The sequence below is a fragment of the Homo sapiens genome, chromosome 2 (genome assembly GCF_000001405.40).
Source record: "Homo sapiens chromosome 2, GRCh38.p14 Primary Assembly".
Lineage (NCBI taxonomy): Eukaryota > Metazoa > Chordata > Mammalia > Primates > Hominidae > Homo > Homo sapiens.
This window is the reverse complement of record NC_000002.12, coordinates 159,093,439-159,109,927: the sequence shown is the minus strand read 5'-3', so window position 1 is coordinate 159,109,927 and position 16,489 is coordinate 159,093,439. Positions and strand designations below refer to the sequence as shown.

The 16,489-nt window shown below is 42.0% G+C and overlaps 1 protein-coding gene across 37 annotated transcripts in view; it reads right to left on the bottom strand.

Moving 5' to 3' along the window:
* The window catches only part of TANC1 (tetratricopeptide repeat, ankyrin repeat and coiled-coil containing 1), a 264,020-nt gene that overhangs the window by 122,732 nt on the left and 124,799 nt on the right, over nt 1–16,489 (bottom strand). For all 37 annotated transcript variants that reach the window (NM_001350065.2, XM_047446107.1, XM_047446108.1 and 34 more), the window contains one exon: nt 12,094–12,291. In NM_001350065.2, coding sequence (NP_001336994.1) covers nt 12,094–12,291 — 198 coding nt within the window. The remainder of the gene's footprint in view (nt 1–12,093; nt 12,292–16,489) is intronic.

Genomic DNA, 16,489 nt, shown 5'->3' with positions numbered 1-16,489 from the left:
TCAAGAACTTTTGCCTTTCCACTTAAAGGAAGCACTTTACAGCTTCTCCTTGGCATTTCCAAATTGCCAGCGTCACCACTCTTGTGCTTTGGGGCCACAGTTAAGTAAAATAAGGTTGACTTGAATACATGTGGTGTGATACTGTGACAGTCAGCCTGACAACTGAGAGGGCTACTGAGTGATTAACAGGAGGGTAGCGTGTGCAGCACATGGACACTGGGCCAAGGGAAGATTCCTGTCCTGGGCTGGAAAGAGCTGGATTTCAGCATGCTACTCAGAATGGCATGCAATTTATGACTTATCAATTATTTCAAGAATTTCTCATGTAATATTTTTGAACCACAGTTGACTGCAGGTAACTGAAACCACAGATAAGGAAGAACTACCGTATTCTCACATGGCTAACAGAAAGAGCTCTAGTACCTTCCTCTTCTTATATAAGGGCATTAATCCCATCATGGAGGTTCCACCCTCCTGATTTCAAAACTTAATCACCTCCCAAAGGCCCCATCTCTTCATAGCATCCTAATTAGAGGTTACAGTTTCAACATCAATTTTGGGGGGACATAAACATGCAGTCCATAACATCTTAGAAGCCCCATTATTACCCCATGTTTCAGAGGAAGAAACACCTATGGCCTGCTCAAGCCTACAGAGCCGGGACATGAATCCAGCTGCGTCCACCTGCCCATGACTGGGGCAGACAGACACACTCATGACTGGGGCAGACAGAGACAGCCTGCATCTGTCAGGACCCTTCACATCTCATTAGCTGAACTGCAGTCTCACCAGTTCTGGATTTAGGGTGGTGAACTTACTCTCCTAGCCTCTTCGAAAGGTCAGCTCATTAGCTGTACTCAGGACCTGTGACCAATAAAGAGGACTTTGTTGGTGGTGGAAGTAACAAGAAAATCACATCTCCTTTGAAGAGTGTTTCCTAAATTATACTTCTCAGAGCCCTTGTCCAGAAAAGGGGCTCCCTGCATGGCACAGTTAACTATCTCGATAGGCCCCACCCCAGGCAAGGCTTTCTGGTTTCAGTGCTCCAGACCCTAATAATGAAGTTTTTCCCAAAGGTACCAGTTTCCCTTTTGTAAGGCACTCTGGTTCCCACTGGGCTCTCCCTTCTAGAAATCACCACTCTGTGTTCATCTTAGTTTCCCACCTCCACTTGGCACAACCCTGGCTGCCCCTCTGCCTGGAGGCAGCCAGCCACCCCTGCCAACAGACGCAGACGCACGCGCAGTCCTGTCACAGCAAACCTGATGAGTCGAGCTGGAATATCAGGTTTTCTTTCCTGTTTATTTCTGCTTTACACTAGTGCTCATTAGCACTAGATATAATCACCTGCATGGGCTCCTGTGACTTCTGTTTCTCTGTAAATCAGAAATGATGAAAAAGATCTCCACCACCAAGGCCCCTGCCCTCATCTATTTTCTCTGAGGTGAAAACATTCATTTCTGAGCATGGTACTGGGTTTGTTCCAGCCGCCATCTGACACCACCACAGGGTGCAGCTGACACTGCTGTAAAGTGTGACTGGATAAAACCCAGTCATCATTAACTGCAGGCGGCGGGAAACGGGCAGCAAAAAATGCCAAAGCGTGAAAATGGGAGAGAGACAGGAGTGGAGGAAAGCAAGGCTGAGTGGCTACTGACAAACCCAGTTGAAGACACACTCCCTTTTGCTCAGCGCCTGGACAGAAAAGCCCTAAGAGGGAGGCTGGACCTAAAGCGTCACTTTTCTCTGGATATGGGGAAAGGTACATTCCCAGCTTTCTAAATGTAAAGGACTGTTACATTTAAAATTGCCTATGCGTCCATTAGTATTTTCAACCAATCACATGGAACTGATGGGCATGGAAATACTAAAATCCTATTGGTTTTAACAGTTACTTACCTATGCTCCATCACCAGGATAAAGAAAGTGATTGGATTCTGAAGATACAATTGGATCCTGTTTTCAGTGCTCCCAAGGGGGAATGACAAGATGTCAACAAAGACAAGACAGCAGTCCTTACAGAGAATGTCACAGAATGTCAGGGCAGAGACGCGAAATAAAGGGTTATGCAGAGCAAAAAGGAGACACAGTGCTACAGATGCTCGGAGCAAAAGGATATTACTTCTCACCTAGAGAAAAGGAGAGGCACAGAGAAAGGCTGGACCAAGCAAGAGATGCAAGCCATACCCACGGTCAACTCCTAAGGAGAAGGTTCTGACCTAGGCATAGGAATTTCCAGAGGATGAGCAATGGGGGAAGAGGAACAATAGGGCTGGGTGAAGGCACAACAATGATTTGGTCAAGAGAAGACAATTCAGTGGGGAAAGAACAGTCTTTTCAGTAAATGGTGCCAGGACAACTGGTATCCACGTGAAAGAGAATGAAGTTGGTCCCTACTTCACATCACACAAGAAAATGAACTCAAAATGGATCACAGGACTAAATGTAAGAGTCAAAACTGTTAGGGGAAAACAGGGATATGTATCTTTATGACCTTGGATTAGGCAACGGTTACTAGGACATGACATCAAAAAGACAGACTAATAATAAATTTAAAACCTTGTCAAAATTTAGAACTGCTGTACTTGAAACACTGTAAGCGGCTGGGCATGGTGGCTCACGCCTGTAATCCCAGCACTTTGGAAAGCTGAGGCAGGTGAATCACCTGATGTCTGGAGTTCGAGACCAGCCTGGCAAACATGGTGAAATGCCCTCTCTACTAAAAATACAAAATTAGCTGGGCATGGTGGCACATGCATTTAGTCCCAGCTACTCAGGAGGCTGAGACAGGAGAATCGCTTGAACCCAGGAGGTGGAAGCTGCAATGAGCCGAGATAGCACCATTGCACACCAGCCTGGGCGAGACAGAGCGAGACTCCGTCTCAAAAACAAACAAACAAACAAACAAAAAACAAAAAAGCCACCAATAAAATCAAAGTAAAAAAGACAATCCTCAGAATGGAAGAAAATACTTGTAAATCATTTATCTCATAAGGAATCTGTATTCAGAATATAAAAACAATTTTCACAACTTAATAAACCTACAATGAGATATCAGTTCACATTCTCTAGAATGGCTATAATAAAAAAGACAATACAAGCATTGGCAAGGATATGAAGCAATTGGAAACCTCATACTCAGCTGGTAGTGATATAAAATAGTACAGCCACTTAAAAAATAATTTGGCGGCAACTTAAGAAGGTTTTACGGAACTACCATATGATTCAACAATTTCACTAGGTATATACCCAAGGGAAAAATATATGTCCATATAAAAATGCAGACACAAAAGCTGATTGCAGCTTTATATATAATAAATAGCCAATGTGGAAACAACAAAATACCCACCAATGGAAGACTGGATAAACAAAACGAGTGGCATGTAGGAGTACTTCATTCTATTTTATTACCAAACAATATTTTACTGAATGCAGTACTGATACATGCCACAACTTGGATGAACCTAGACAACACGATGCTCCATAAAAGAAGCCAGTCACAAAATACCACATATTATGATTCCATTTTAATGGAATGACCAGAATAAGCAAATCAAGAGACATAAAGTAGACTCGTGGTTACCAGGGGCTAGGAAGTAGGGAGTGAAGAGTAAGGGCAGGGCGGAATGTGAAATGACTAGTAACGGGTATGGGGTTTTTTTGCTTTGGTTTCTTTGAGGAGGAGATAACAATGTTCTAAAATTAAGACTGTGGGGATGGTTGCACAACCCTGTGAAAATGCTACAAAAAGAACATCGAACTGTAAACTTTAAATGGGTGAATTATGTGGTATGTAAATTATATCTCAATAAAGCTGTTTTTTAAAAAAATGCAATGGAATAAATCACAATGGAAAAATACATAAATTTGACTGGAGAAAATGAAAAACTTCTGTGCGTCATAAAACACTGTAACCTAATTAGATGGAAAACGAACCAGAAACAGTTTTTTTTTTTTAAACATACATGACTGATACCCTTAAAACAATGAAGCTGTGCTAAATCAATAAGAAACACATATTGTCCTAGTAGAATAAAGGACAACTATCACAAAGAATTTCCAAAAGAAAAAGTTACCAATGGCCATTAAGAATATAATAATTCATCTACAATGTTAAACAAGTAAGTTTTGGCCCAGTAAACTCACTTTCATAGTCTGATAAAAATATCAGAGATGCCTTTAAATCTTAATATACAAGAATGTTATTTTTTAGCAGAAAACAGGGGACCTCTTACCTGTCCAATGCTGGGGGAATGGGCAAATGTGTTACTGTTGGTTACGTACTATAGAAACAAAGCAGGAGCGACCATCAAAAGTGGTTGTCTTTTGCGGGGTATAGAGGGACTCAATACTTTCATTATTTTGTACTTCTTTTTGTAATTCCACTGCTGGGAACCTGCTACCCCAAGGAGATATCAGAGATGTTTGTAAATATCACTGGACAAAAGTATTCCTGTTGGAAGTTCTAAAGATGGGTTGTACAACAACGTGAGTGTAATTACCACTGAACTGTACACTTAAATGGTTAAGATGGTCAATTTTGTTATATGTATTTCACCATAATTAAAAATATTCACACCAGGAATAGCGAAAACAAATTATAACATGCTAATTTTTTTAAAAAGTAAGTATCTGGCCGGGCGGGGTGGCTCATGCCTGTAATCCCAGCACTCTGGGAGGCCGAGGTGGGCGGATCATGGGATCAGGAGATCGAGACCATCCTGGCTAACACGGTGAAACCCCGTCTCTACTAAAAATACAAAAAATTAGCCAGGCGTGGTGGTGGGCGCCTGTAGTCCCAGCTACTCGGAAGGCTGAAGCAGGAGAATGGCGTGAACCTGGGAGGCGGAGCTTGCAGTGAGCCCAGATCACACCACTGCACTCCAGCCTGGGCAATAGAGCGAGACTCCATCTCAAAAAAAAAAAAAAAAAAAAAAAAAAAAAAAGCAAATATCCAACAATCAGAAATGTTTAAAAATCAATTATAAGATACTGAAACAATGGACAACAAATATCAAACTCTTCAAGTAAACTGGAAATTGCTCGTGATAAAATATTAAGCAAGAGCTGGGTGCAGTGGCTCATGCCTGTAATCCCAGCACTTTGGGAGGCCAAGTTGGGAGAATCACTTGAGGCCAGGAGTTCAAGACCAAACTAGGCAACATGGCAAAAACCTCATCTCTAGGAAAAAAAAGAAAAAAGCAAAGAATTAAATTAGCTGGGCATGGTGGTGCATGCCTGTGGTCCCAGCTACTTGAGGCTGAGGTGGAAGGATCGCTTGAGCCCAGGAGGTTGAGGCTACAGTGAGCCTTGATAGCACCACTGCACTCCAGCCTGGGTGACACAGCAAGACCTTGTCTCAAAACAAATATATACACATATATTTGTCCTCATGAAAAAGCAATTATATGAGATAATCACATATTCTTTATCAGTAATTCTCAAACTTTGTTACATATTAGAATCACCGAGGAAGCCTTTTTAAAAATCCCAATGTCCAGACCATACTTCATATGCATTTAATCTGAGTCTCTGAACGTAGGAGCTGGGCATCATCAGTACCCTTTAAAATTCCTGGTCTGACTCCAGAGTATAGCCAAATTGTATACAGGTGAACCAGGACTCATTGGCAGGGGAATAAATGGACTTGAAGTGGAGCAAATGCATGCACACTGGTTCTATGTATGAACACATGTTCAAGTACAACAGAAAATCTGTGCGTCACGTTCACAGCTGGGCACGCAGTAAGGAGGCCATCATATAACAAGTTTCCAGGAGGAAACAAAGAATGCTCTCCTATTCACCTCAGCAGGAGGAACTATCCTTTCTGAAGGTTAGATGTCAACTGTGGTCCCAACCACTCAGCAGTGGAAGCAAGGACTAGAACCAGCTGGCTCTACAAGGAGAAATGGGGCTGTGCATGTCCTGTGTTATTCTTCACCCTCCAAGAAGCAGCCTCATGGATCCATGTGAGGCTTTAAGCCCATGCCCTCCTCCTGCCCACACCTTCTATGAAATCAGAACACACTCACATTATTTACAGCTCACAAGCCAACAACGTACAGGCAGAACATCGGCACAGGCTGGCTGACATAAGAGAAGACGCTGGGGACAGCATGGAGGATCAGGGTCTACCAATAACTTGTATGAATTTTGGACAAGTTCCCTAATGACCAAGGGGTCTTTGCTTGCACATCTGCAAAGAGGCCTGGACAGGATGTGCTCTGGAGGCCTCTCCAACTCCAACATGCCTGTGAACCTCCATGATCTCTAGGATCCGCACCAGGCGGCTGAAACTGGGAGCCAACTGAATGTTTTTCTGACCATGAACTTGATCTGACTCAGCTGTCATAATTCCCGACACAGTCTCATGCAAAGAAAGAAAATGAAAATTGCCTGAGAAGTGCAGACAGAAGGGAAGTTCTAAAGAAGGCAGCTACAGAATGACGTCTCAGCCTCTTAAAATTGTCAGTAGTCCACAGTTAGGCCGCACAAAGCACCATCCATTTAAGCTGTTCCCAGAAGATGTGAATTTCAAAAAGCAGCCACTCAAAGAATGCTGGGGGGAATATGAAATCAATACAGCCTTTCTGGAAAGGAAGTGGGCACTATGTATCAAGACTCTTTATAAATGCAGGCCATTTAGTTCAATAATTCCACTGCTGGGAACCTGCTACCCCAAGGAGATATCAGAGATGTTTGTAAATATCACTGGACAAAAGTATTCCTGTTGGAAGTTCTAAAGATGGGTTGTACAACAACGTGAGTGTAATTACCACTGAACTGTACACTTAAATGGTTAAGATGGTCAATTTTGTTATATGTATTTCACCATAATTAAAAAATATTCACACCAGGAATAGCGAAAACATTATAACATGCTAAAAATTTTTTTAAAAAGTAAGTATCTGGCTGGGAGGGGTGGCTCATGCCTGTAATCCCAGCACTCTGGGAGGCCAAGGTGGGCGGATCGTGGGATCAGGAGATCGAGACCATCCTGGCTAACACGGTGAAACCCTGTCTCTACTAAAAATACAAAAAATTAGCCAGGCGTGGTGGTGGGTGCCTGTAGTCCCAGCTACTCGGAAGGCTGAAGCAGGAGAATGGCGTGAACCTGGGAGGCGGAGCTTGCAGTGAGCCCAGATCACACCACTGCACTCCAGCCTGGGCAATAGAGCGAGACTCCATCTCAAAAAAAAAAAAAAAAAAAAAAAAGCAAATATCCAACAATCAGAAATGTTTAAAAATCAATTATAAAATAATGAAACAATGGACAACAAATATCAAACTCTTCAAGTAAACTGGAAATTGCTCGTGATAAAATATTAAGCAAGAGCTGGGTGCAGTGGCTCATGCCTGTAATCCCAGCACTTTGGGAGGCCAAGTTGGGAGAATCACTTGAGGCCAGGAGTTCAAGACCAAACTAGGCAACATGGCAAAAACCTCATCTCTAGGAAAAAAAAGAAAAAAGCAAAGAATTAAATTAGCTGGGCATGGTGGTGCATGCCTGTGGTCCCAGCTACTTGAGGCTGAGGTGGAAGGATCGCTTGAGCCCAGGAGGTTGAGGCTACAGTGAGCCTTGATAGCACCACTGCACTCCAGCCTGGGTGACACAGCAAGACCTTGTCTCAAAACAAATAAAAAAAACTTAAGTGACACAAGCAGCACACAAGAGGGTTACATAATGTGGTCTCAGGTTTAGGTGGAGCAGATTTTTTTCAAAAGACTAGAAGAAAAGATGTTCACAGTAGTTCTTTTTCGATGGGATTTCCAGATTTTCTACAAGAAATACTTGCGGGTTGGGGGAGGGAGTGCCTTCGCAGACATTAACTCATGGTCCAAGAATCAAAGAGACAATATGGCTTCTACTCCACAGCCTGTCAATTTAGTGGTTTTTCCCTTAACAAAACAGGCAGAGAAGTTTTCAAAACTGCTACATCAGCTATGTCCACTGTGAGACAGAACTGGAACTGGAATCGGCAGAAGCGGAAGTGGCCGGCACTCTCCAGTGTCTCCATACAAGGAGTAGGGCAGTATCGCCCACTTGTCACCATCTGCTGTCTTACTCCATCACAGCATTTCAAAGGGTTGCTTCTCATTCATTCATGATGTTTTGATTGTTTGATAATGGGCCCAGAGTGATCTGGGAAAATAAATGCAGATACTTTATAAAGTATCTAATGATATTACTAATAAATCACAGGAAATGAGCTTTTCTCTTCTCTGGAAAACAGCAGCACACATTACAAATATTGATGAATTCTTAATCCAAAAAGACTTGCAACTGCCACAGAACTACTTTAATGGATGCTGGTCCTTGTTTTCATTAACAGAAAATATATTTACCATTAAAAACAAAAGTTTTGAAACAATACTCAGAAAACAATCTTCTAACAATGAAAAAAAAAACCAAATAAATGGAGGAAGGTGGCAGAAGAGTAAATAAAAATAATAACCTCAATATGAGTGGAAAGTAAGAAACTCAATCATGTAACATGCAGGGTCACATTATTGCAAGGTTAATTAAATTATCTCTGGCCCACAGTTCCCAAGATCCAGGAAGTAATCATCAATTGTATTAACATACATATTTTTATTATTACAGGCTGTGTTGTTCAGAGTGTCTTCTTACAGGGGTTTGTAGTATTTGATCCTTGCAAGAATAATTGTTCCAGTCCCTAACAGTTTCTGGATTAGCATCAATTAGTGAAGAGTTTCTATACAAACAACTGAAACAAGTTTGGTTTTTTTGTTTTTGTTTTTTAACCTTGAACAAGAGAGGAATTGGCAGGGGTGGGGGGCATCTTACAAATCAGAACAAAAGTCATCAAGGTAGTTTCGGAGCACATGTCTGAATGATGGCACGACCCTGGAGCATGACCCACTGTGGGGCCAGCGTGGAAGGAGAGGAGGGGAGTGGCTCCATACCTCTGGGTGCTGCAGACACACTGTATTGACTCTATCATTAGCAGCAACAGTGCTAGCTTTTAAAATAGATGAGTCTTTTTAAATCCAGTACACATTCACAACCATATGTCAGTTTTTTTTTTAAATTATTAAAACCAGGCAGGTAGAACATTAGAGCTCTGGATACTTTTACCAACAAAATGGTTTAAGCAGAAATCTGTGTTAGACACTGAAAAAAAATACTGTTCATCATTTGATGTATTGAGTCACTGCCATTTTTAAACAGCATCTCTGCCCTAAACTTTTCCAATTAAAATTACCAAGATAATGAAGCCAAATTACCACTGTGAGACACTAATTTGCTGTACAAATTTGGGCAGTGAACAAGCACTGCTCCGTTAGAGATGTATCTGCTTAGTTTATTTAATTATCATTTGGACCAAAAACATCTAATAGAGAGAACATCCCAAATCCACCAGAAGCTTGTATGTTTCAGAACTATTAACCTTCTATTCTAAGGCCTTGCAAAGAATTTAGCAAAAATAAATTTCATTCCTATGGAGAAAAACTTGAGGATATTTTCTTGAAAAAAGACAAAAACTAATGTGGTCCACACACATATAAGGAGACATGGCTTCATCAGGGATTCTTCTGCCTCCATGCCTGTAACCTCCATGAAACCTTTCTGGGTAGCCACACTCTCCAGGCTTGCCATGCCATTCAATCCCACCTAAAGTCCCACTAAAACACTGAATTTGTGAATAAAATTATATCTGACATGCAGTCTTCCCTGAAGTCTCTCAGGTTTTCCCCAGTCCTAAGGCCCAAGCAACATTAATTCATTTGCAGTAGCACAGACTATAGGTAGGCAAATTGTACAAAAGGTCAAATCTCTGCACTTGGCATTACCTTCAACAGAGATCCCTTAAAAATATCGATAGTTTCTGAATTATCTCTATTATCTATTATATAGAGATGAGGTATAAGACATCTTGTTTGTCCTCAAGCATCAGACAGAGGAAGCACATAATGTTTTTAAGAAGAAAAAACTACTCAGTGATACTTTTAAAAGCATAGTAGGGCAGACTTTATTCAGGACCATCTTAACACATATAGGGACCAATGCAGTAGGATTTTGCAGTTAGGGAAAGAGTTGATTGAGCTCAACTCCAAATACCGCATGGGGAAGTGGGAATTTATAGCCAAGGAACAGGGTAGGTATCGGTGCATGAAAAATTACTAAGAGGCAACATCAGGGGTAGGAAGGCAATTCTTGTTAAAGACAGGTCAGGGTGACCAGATGTCACCTGGAAGATGGTGGAGGATGAGGAATCTAATCAGATTTGGGTGGGGGTGGGGAGGCGTTCTTGCTAAACTTAGTAGCATGCTTCTTAGCTAAACCTGGATTTTACAAGAAAATGTGTGCGCACACACACACACAGACCTAGGAGAAAGTTCAGGAGCATGACTACAGTGTAGCCAAGCAAAGTTTTTTTGTTTTGTTTTGTTTTGTTTTTTTTTTTGGTCAATATACCCACTAATTCAGGGGAAAAGGACAAATGACGTACCTGATAATAAAGAAAAAGTAAAACACTGTGCATACTTTTTGGGAAGAGTAATTCCAATCAGGATAACCCAGTATGACAGGCAGTGTGGGAACTATGATTTGAAGGAAGAGAAGAAATGTGACAAAGAGATACAGCAGTGAGGGAGGGCAAAGAAGGAAGGACGGACATTCCAGGAACTTCCCCAAATACTGATAAACAGGTCAAATTCCTTGGCACAGGAAATTACTTCATACCAAAAAGGTTCCTGAGTTCCAGCTAATTAATGGATTGTAAACAATGTTGTCCTAAACCAGAAAATTCTGCAACAATAAAAGATTTTGGACACTCACAAATTCATAGCACCGTTTCTAACATTCAGAGCCTTTAAGGGTGCCCTCCTAATTTTACCCGCACATAAACCTCAAAGATCTACTAAATGAGTCAGCATAGGTGATCTCAAGTAATACAAATATTACCAGGAAATCAGAGAAACAGATACCATTTCACAGCCCTAGGCACATTTTTGATAGATTCTGAATATGTTTACATGTAATTGAGAAGAATCCTTACACTGGCATATGATCAACTGGGCCCCAAATTATCCGCCTTTTGTAAACACTCCACAAACCTTAAAAAAAAAAAATCCAAGAATTTTTAAAACTCAAGGTATCAGCATTTTAGAAAGGCTTTCCTCACATGTGAATCATAACCTCTCAAAGTTCTGTTTTGTTTTTTTTGGGTAATGTTAAGTGTAAAACACATTGATAGAGGGAAGCCAAAATACTTCCAAAGTATAATAGGAATAATCCAAAGTCTGTTTCCCCCACCCCCCTTTACAAGTCTGAGTTTTCACAAACAAACTTTATAGCTGTTCAAATGCTAGATGATGTAATCAAATGAAATACATCAGTATATACTAGGTAGTAATAAATAGACTATTGTCAGATGACATTTGCCTACATCCATAACCTTTAAACACACCACGTATGAGTTTGGATTACAGTCATGTGTCACTTAATGATGAGGATACATTCTGAGACAGGCGTCATTAGGTGATTTTGTCATTGTGCGAACATCCTCAAGTGTACTTCACAAATCAAGGTGGCATAGCCTACTATATACCTAGGCTATATGGCATAGCCTATTGCTCCTAGGCTACAAACCTGTACAGCACGTTACTATACTGAATGCAGTAGGCAACTATTAATGTAGTGGCAAGTATCTGCATATCTAAACATAGAAAAGGTACAGTAAAAACACAGTATTATAACCTCATGGGACCACCATCATACATGCAGTTTGTCATTGATCAAAAGAAACATCATTAGTCGGTGCCATAACTGTATAGTGCTCCTTAATTCATCAGCAAGAAAACAACAAAATTGCTGGTTAACATCAGTACTGATAACAAAATCTTTAATCTTTATAAAAATCTAGCCTGGTAGTCCAAACAGGATGAATCTATTAAAACCATACTTTTTCCTTAAATTAAAAAAAAAAAAAGATTTATTTCTTCTAGAAGATACTGCGACAAAGAAAAAACATTGTCCCAGAAGATTTCTCATGGGCACTAGTTTTGCTTATTTTCAATGCAGGTACTACATATATAACCAAGGCAGCTCCTTCATTGCCTGTTTACCTGGGGATTTTTTGTTCACTCTTGATTGCACCAAGTGAGACTGTCGAGGCAGCAAAGGTGAGGAAGGCAGAGACATCGAGACACCTTTGGCCAAGCTCACCCTATAGGTGTCCTCTGCTGTGGGAAGACTGCTCACAGGAGAGTCAGCACTGTGGTCAAGGTGCAGGACTGGAGAAGTCTCTGGACCAAAGTCACTTCCTAGAGTAGAGAGAGAATACTTAGGTTAAACCATCCATTCATTATAAGTTGATGCAAATTTAACTCCTATAAACTATATTCTCAGAATATAATTCCCACATATCAGATGTGTGTATTGAATTTTTTTAAATGACTTTTCCCCCACTACTCTTGAAACTTTTTACCCTGTGAGGGAAAACTCAAGCATCAGTGAACTCTGCTCCATGTGCCTTTCTGCACTACCCTAACTGATCTGGTTTCAATCCCTAACAAAGGATCCAGGAAGCCACTGATCTGGGATTAGATCAAGGTCAAGTATGAATGATCCACAAGAAGCTTTGATCTCAGAAAAGGAAAAGGAGAGGGCTTACTAGCCTTACATGAGTATCAGTAAAACAGATTCAGATACCAACCCTTCCAGAACTCCCAGGCCTCCACTGCTCCTCTCTAATAAGAAAAGACTAAGTGAGAGTGTAGTCTACATCCACATTCCTCCCCAGCACCATCCCTTGGCTCCCATCCCATCTACTCAACACTCCCCATGACACAGGGCCACCCTCCTAAAACTCAAACAGCCCCAAACCAGTCATGGGACTGGAAACATTGCTCACTTATTAGGCAGCTTCCGCTTGACACTCCACCCCTAAACAAGCTTGGGAACAAACAAGCTTACTATTAGGAAATTAAACATTGTTAAATATGGTAAACCCCAAGTTTCTCCTCAAAAAAACCAGTATGTCAGTATGTTCAGCTCTTATTCTTTGATTCTCCATTTTAAAGTTTAACTTCCTGGTTCTCTTTGGCTTCTCGCTTCTAGTTTCAGTCAACAACTTTCCCGCCAATCCTAATTAGTAGTTCACGTCTGTTCCCTGGTTACCTGCTCTGTCCTGACTCATCCCGGTCACCTGCTCTGACCTAAGTCACCTTTAGTTACCTGTTCCTCACCGTCCTTCCCACCAAACCCCGCCATTCTGGCTCATGCCCCTGCCCTCTTTAAAACAGTCAGTCAGAACTAGCTTAGACTGTGTGGTCCAACCCTAGCCAATAGGGGAACAACACAGCAGCAGGGGCTACCTGCGTCAGGAATAAGAACTCCTGCCCCTCCCCTGTCCAGGTGTGCTCTCGCCATTGTTCCATCTGTGATGAGCACCCTTTCTGCAGAAAGTAAAAACTGCCTTGCTGAGATAATTAAATTTATGTTTGAGTGCTATTTCTTTGTGGCACCAGGGAACAAGCATTTCTAACAACATTCTAGGGTAGACAGAACCTTAAGAAGCAGAAAGGATGTAATCACAATGTTAAAAAATATATACAAGAAAGAGTATCTTGGCTGGAACTAGTCTCCCAAAAAAAAAAAAAAAAAATACAGCCAGTCCTCATGTATTCAGATAACACATTTTCCTCTGACTGCTTCTTCCCACCAATCACCTTCCCCGCTCGTTAGTATGTACTAAGATGGAACTGAGGATGTGCAGGGAAAGAATGTAAATCATTACCTGCTTCTTAAAAAGCATCTTCAAACTCTAAGTCACAGAGAGCAGAATTTGAAAGATGTATAAACTTTCCCACAAGCACACCAGTCTCTATGACAAAAGCTATCCAACCAGTCCTTGCCACGCCTTCCTGGCTCCAAAAACAAACCAAAAAAACCACACATACACACACACAATCAAAGACCAGATTTTAAAAAAAGAAACAATGAAAGCTGCCTAGCTAGGCAGGAACTAAATTCTGCAGATTTTTGTGTACAAGGCTCAAAGGGGATACAAACCAGACCATCAAGTTTCAAGTGGTATCACTGTGCTTGTTTTTTGTGTTAGGAGTCAAGAGGAAGTAGAGTCACCCCCTCCATATAGGACATATGCCTTATATGAGACATATAGGACAGGTACATGCCTTACTTTTTTTTTTTTTTTTTTTTTTTGAGACAGTCTTGCTGTGTTGCCCAGGCTGGAGTGCAGTGGCACGATCTCGACTCACTGCAACGTCCACCTCCTGGGTTCAAGCGATTCTCCTGCTTCAGCCTCCTGAGTAGCTGGGATTACAGGCGCCCGCCACCACACCCGGCTAATCTTTGTATTTTTAGTAGAGACAGGGTTTCACCATGTTGGTCAGGCTGGTCTTGAACTTCTGACCTCGTGATCTACCTGCCTTGGCCCCCAAAGTGCTGGGATTACAGGCATGAGCCACAGCGCCTGGCCAGCACATGCCTTACTTTTAAAGGGAACTCACAGCAGAGCAGTGAACAGAAAAGCCCCACAATGGGCATGTCAGCAAAGTCAGATAATTTTAGTCTCTCCTGGGTTACCTATGCATGGACGGTTTTTATAAACCTGGGAAACTAAAGATTTATCACTCACTGCCCAAATGACTGGCATTTGAAGAAACAAGACAGATCAGAAAACTCACTAGGGCTGGGTGCAGTGGCTCATGCCCATAATCCCAACATTTTGGGAGGCCGAAGCAAGCGAATCACGAGGTCAGGAGTTCGAGACCAGCCTGGCCAACACGGTGAAACCCTGTCTCTACTAAAAATACAAAAAAAATAGCTGGGCATGGTGGTGGGCACCGGTAATCCCAGCTACTTGGGAGGCTGAGGCAGGAGTATCACTTGAACCCAGGAAGCAGAGGTTGCAGTGAGCCGAGATCACACCACTGCACTCTAGCTCGGGCAACAGTGCGAGACTCCATCTCAAAAAAAAAACAAAAAACAAACAATAAAAAAACACCTCTCACTGGCGTTACAAAAATAAGGACATTCATGCAAATGCCCAGGACAAAGTTCTGTCCTCAAGGGAGAGAAGCAGACAGGAGTTAGAGGCCTTTCCTCCTAGAGGCTGTGTGGACAGCAGTGGCCCCCAGGCTGGCCCCCACCCCCCCCCCACACACACACAAGCTTCATCCACCCTCTTTTGCTAGCTAGCACTGTAAGATACCATTGTCACCAATCCCCAGAACCACAGGGGCCAGTCTTATAGCACTGTGCATGAGTCTGGAATCTTTGAGAAACCACCTCGAGGCTTTCGGCCAGGTCACGAGTTTTCCCAGCTGCTTTCCCTTCAACTGTCTGGCGAGGAAACAGATCTTAAGGCAGAGCTAGGCTGCACCATGATGCCAGCGCGCAGTGGAGCCGGATGCCCTCTGACCCGACAAACTTGTAAAAGCTGAGGGATGGTTGTTTTCTCATCACCACCTCACTCTCACACTGAGAATGCAAGCAGGTGCTGTGCCTACAAGAACCACATCACGTCACCTAATTCATGGGTGTACAGGCAAGAATCACCAAGAGACAGATCAGAACTTGGAAAGCACTGAGGCCACAGCCCCAGAACATTACATACAAAAGACGTGTGGGGGACCTTGAAGAGGTGACACTGGTTTTCCATGTGGTTTGAAGAGAGCTACATTGCCCTGTGGCTGTTCTCACATAGGCTAAATCACAGACCCAGCTAGTCAAATGGCTGTGGGATGGCCTGACAGGCCACAAAGGCACTGTCTCCCCTACTCACACATGAGTATTACTGACCTATACAAAAACAAATAAAAACCCAGATTTCAAGTCCTTTAATTTGCATGAGGACACAAAAGAAGGGAGAAATACATGTACCACCACCAGAAATAAACAGCATTGAGAAAAGGTTTATTTTCTTAAATACTTATAATTCTCCAACATGACACAAGAGAAATTAGGCATTGAAGGGAAAAAGAATTAAAAAGTTTCCTAATTATAAATTCTGCCCATAAACTTTGTTTATAACAAGCAAAGCAAATATTTTCATTAATTGCAAATGTGGTGCAGATGAGTTTCCAAAGCATGCTGTAAGCATGAGGACCTTCAGCCTTTGGAGCAGCTGGGCTCCAGCACTATGATTTTATGCAGGCTGCAATAAAACGAGGCTTAAGAGAAGAGGGAGGGGGAGGGGGGTTTCCATTTCAAGTTTACTTTACCATCTCACTATAATCACTCTCAAACATGTTGTTCTGTTTGGTTTGTTTTTCAGAGGCAATAAAAGATCTCTAACTTCCAGTATCCTTTCATTAGAAAGGCACAAAGTAGGGAGAGAAGTTTTATGTATGAACAGGAAGCACAAAGCTGGGTGGATCTAGCACTCTGGAGCCAGGAGCTTTAACTGCACAAGGGCAAGGGGAATACGGTCAAACAAAGAAAGCATCACGATGATGCCACGGGCAGAAAGTGAAAATCTCTTAGGGGCATCCA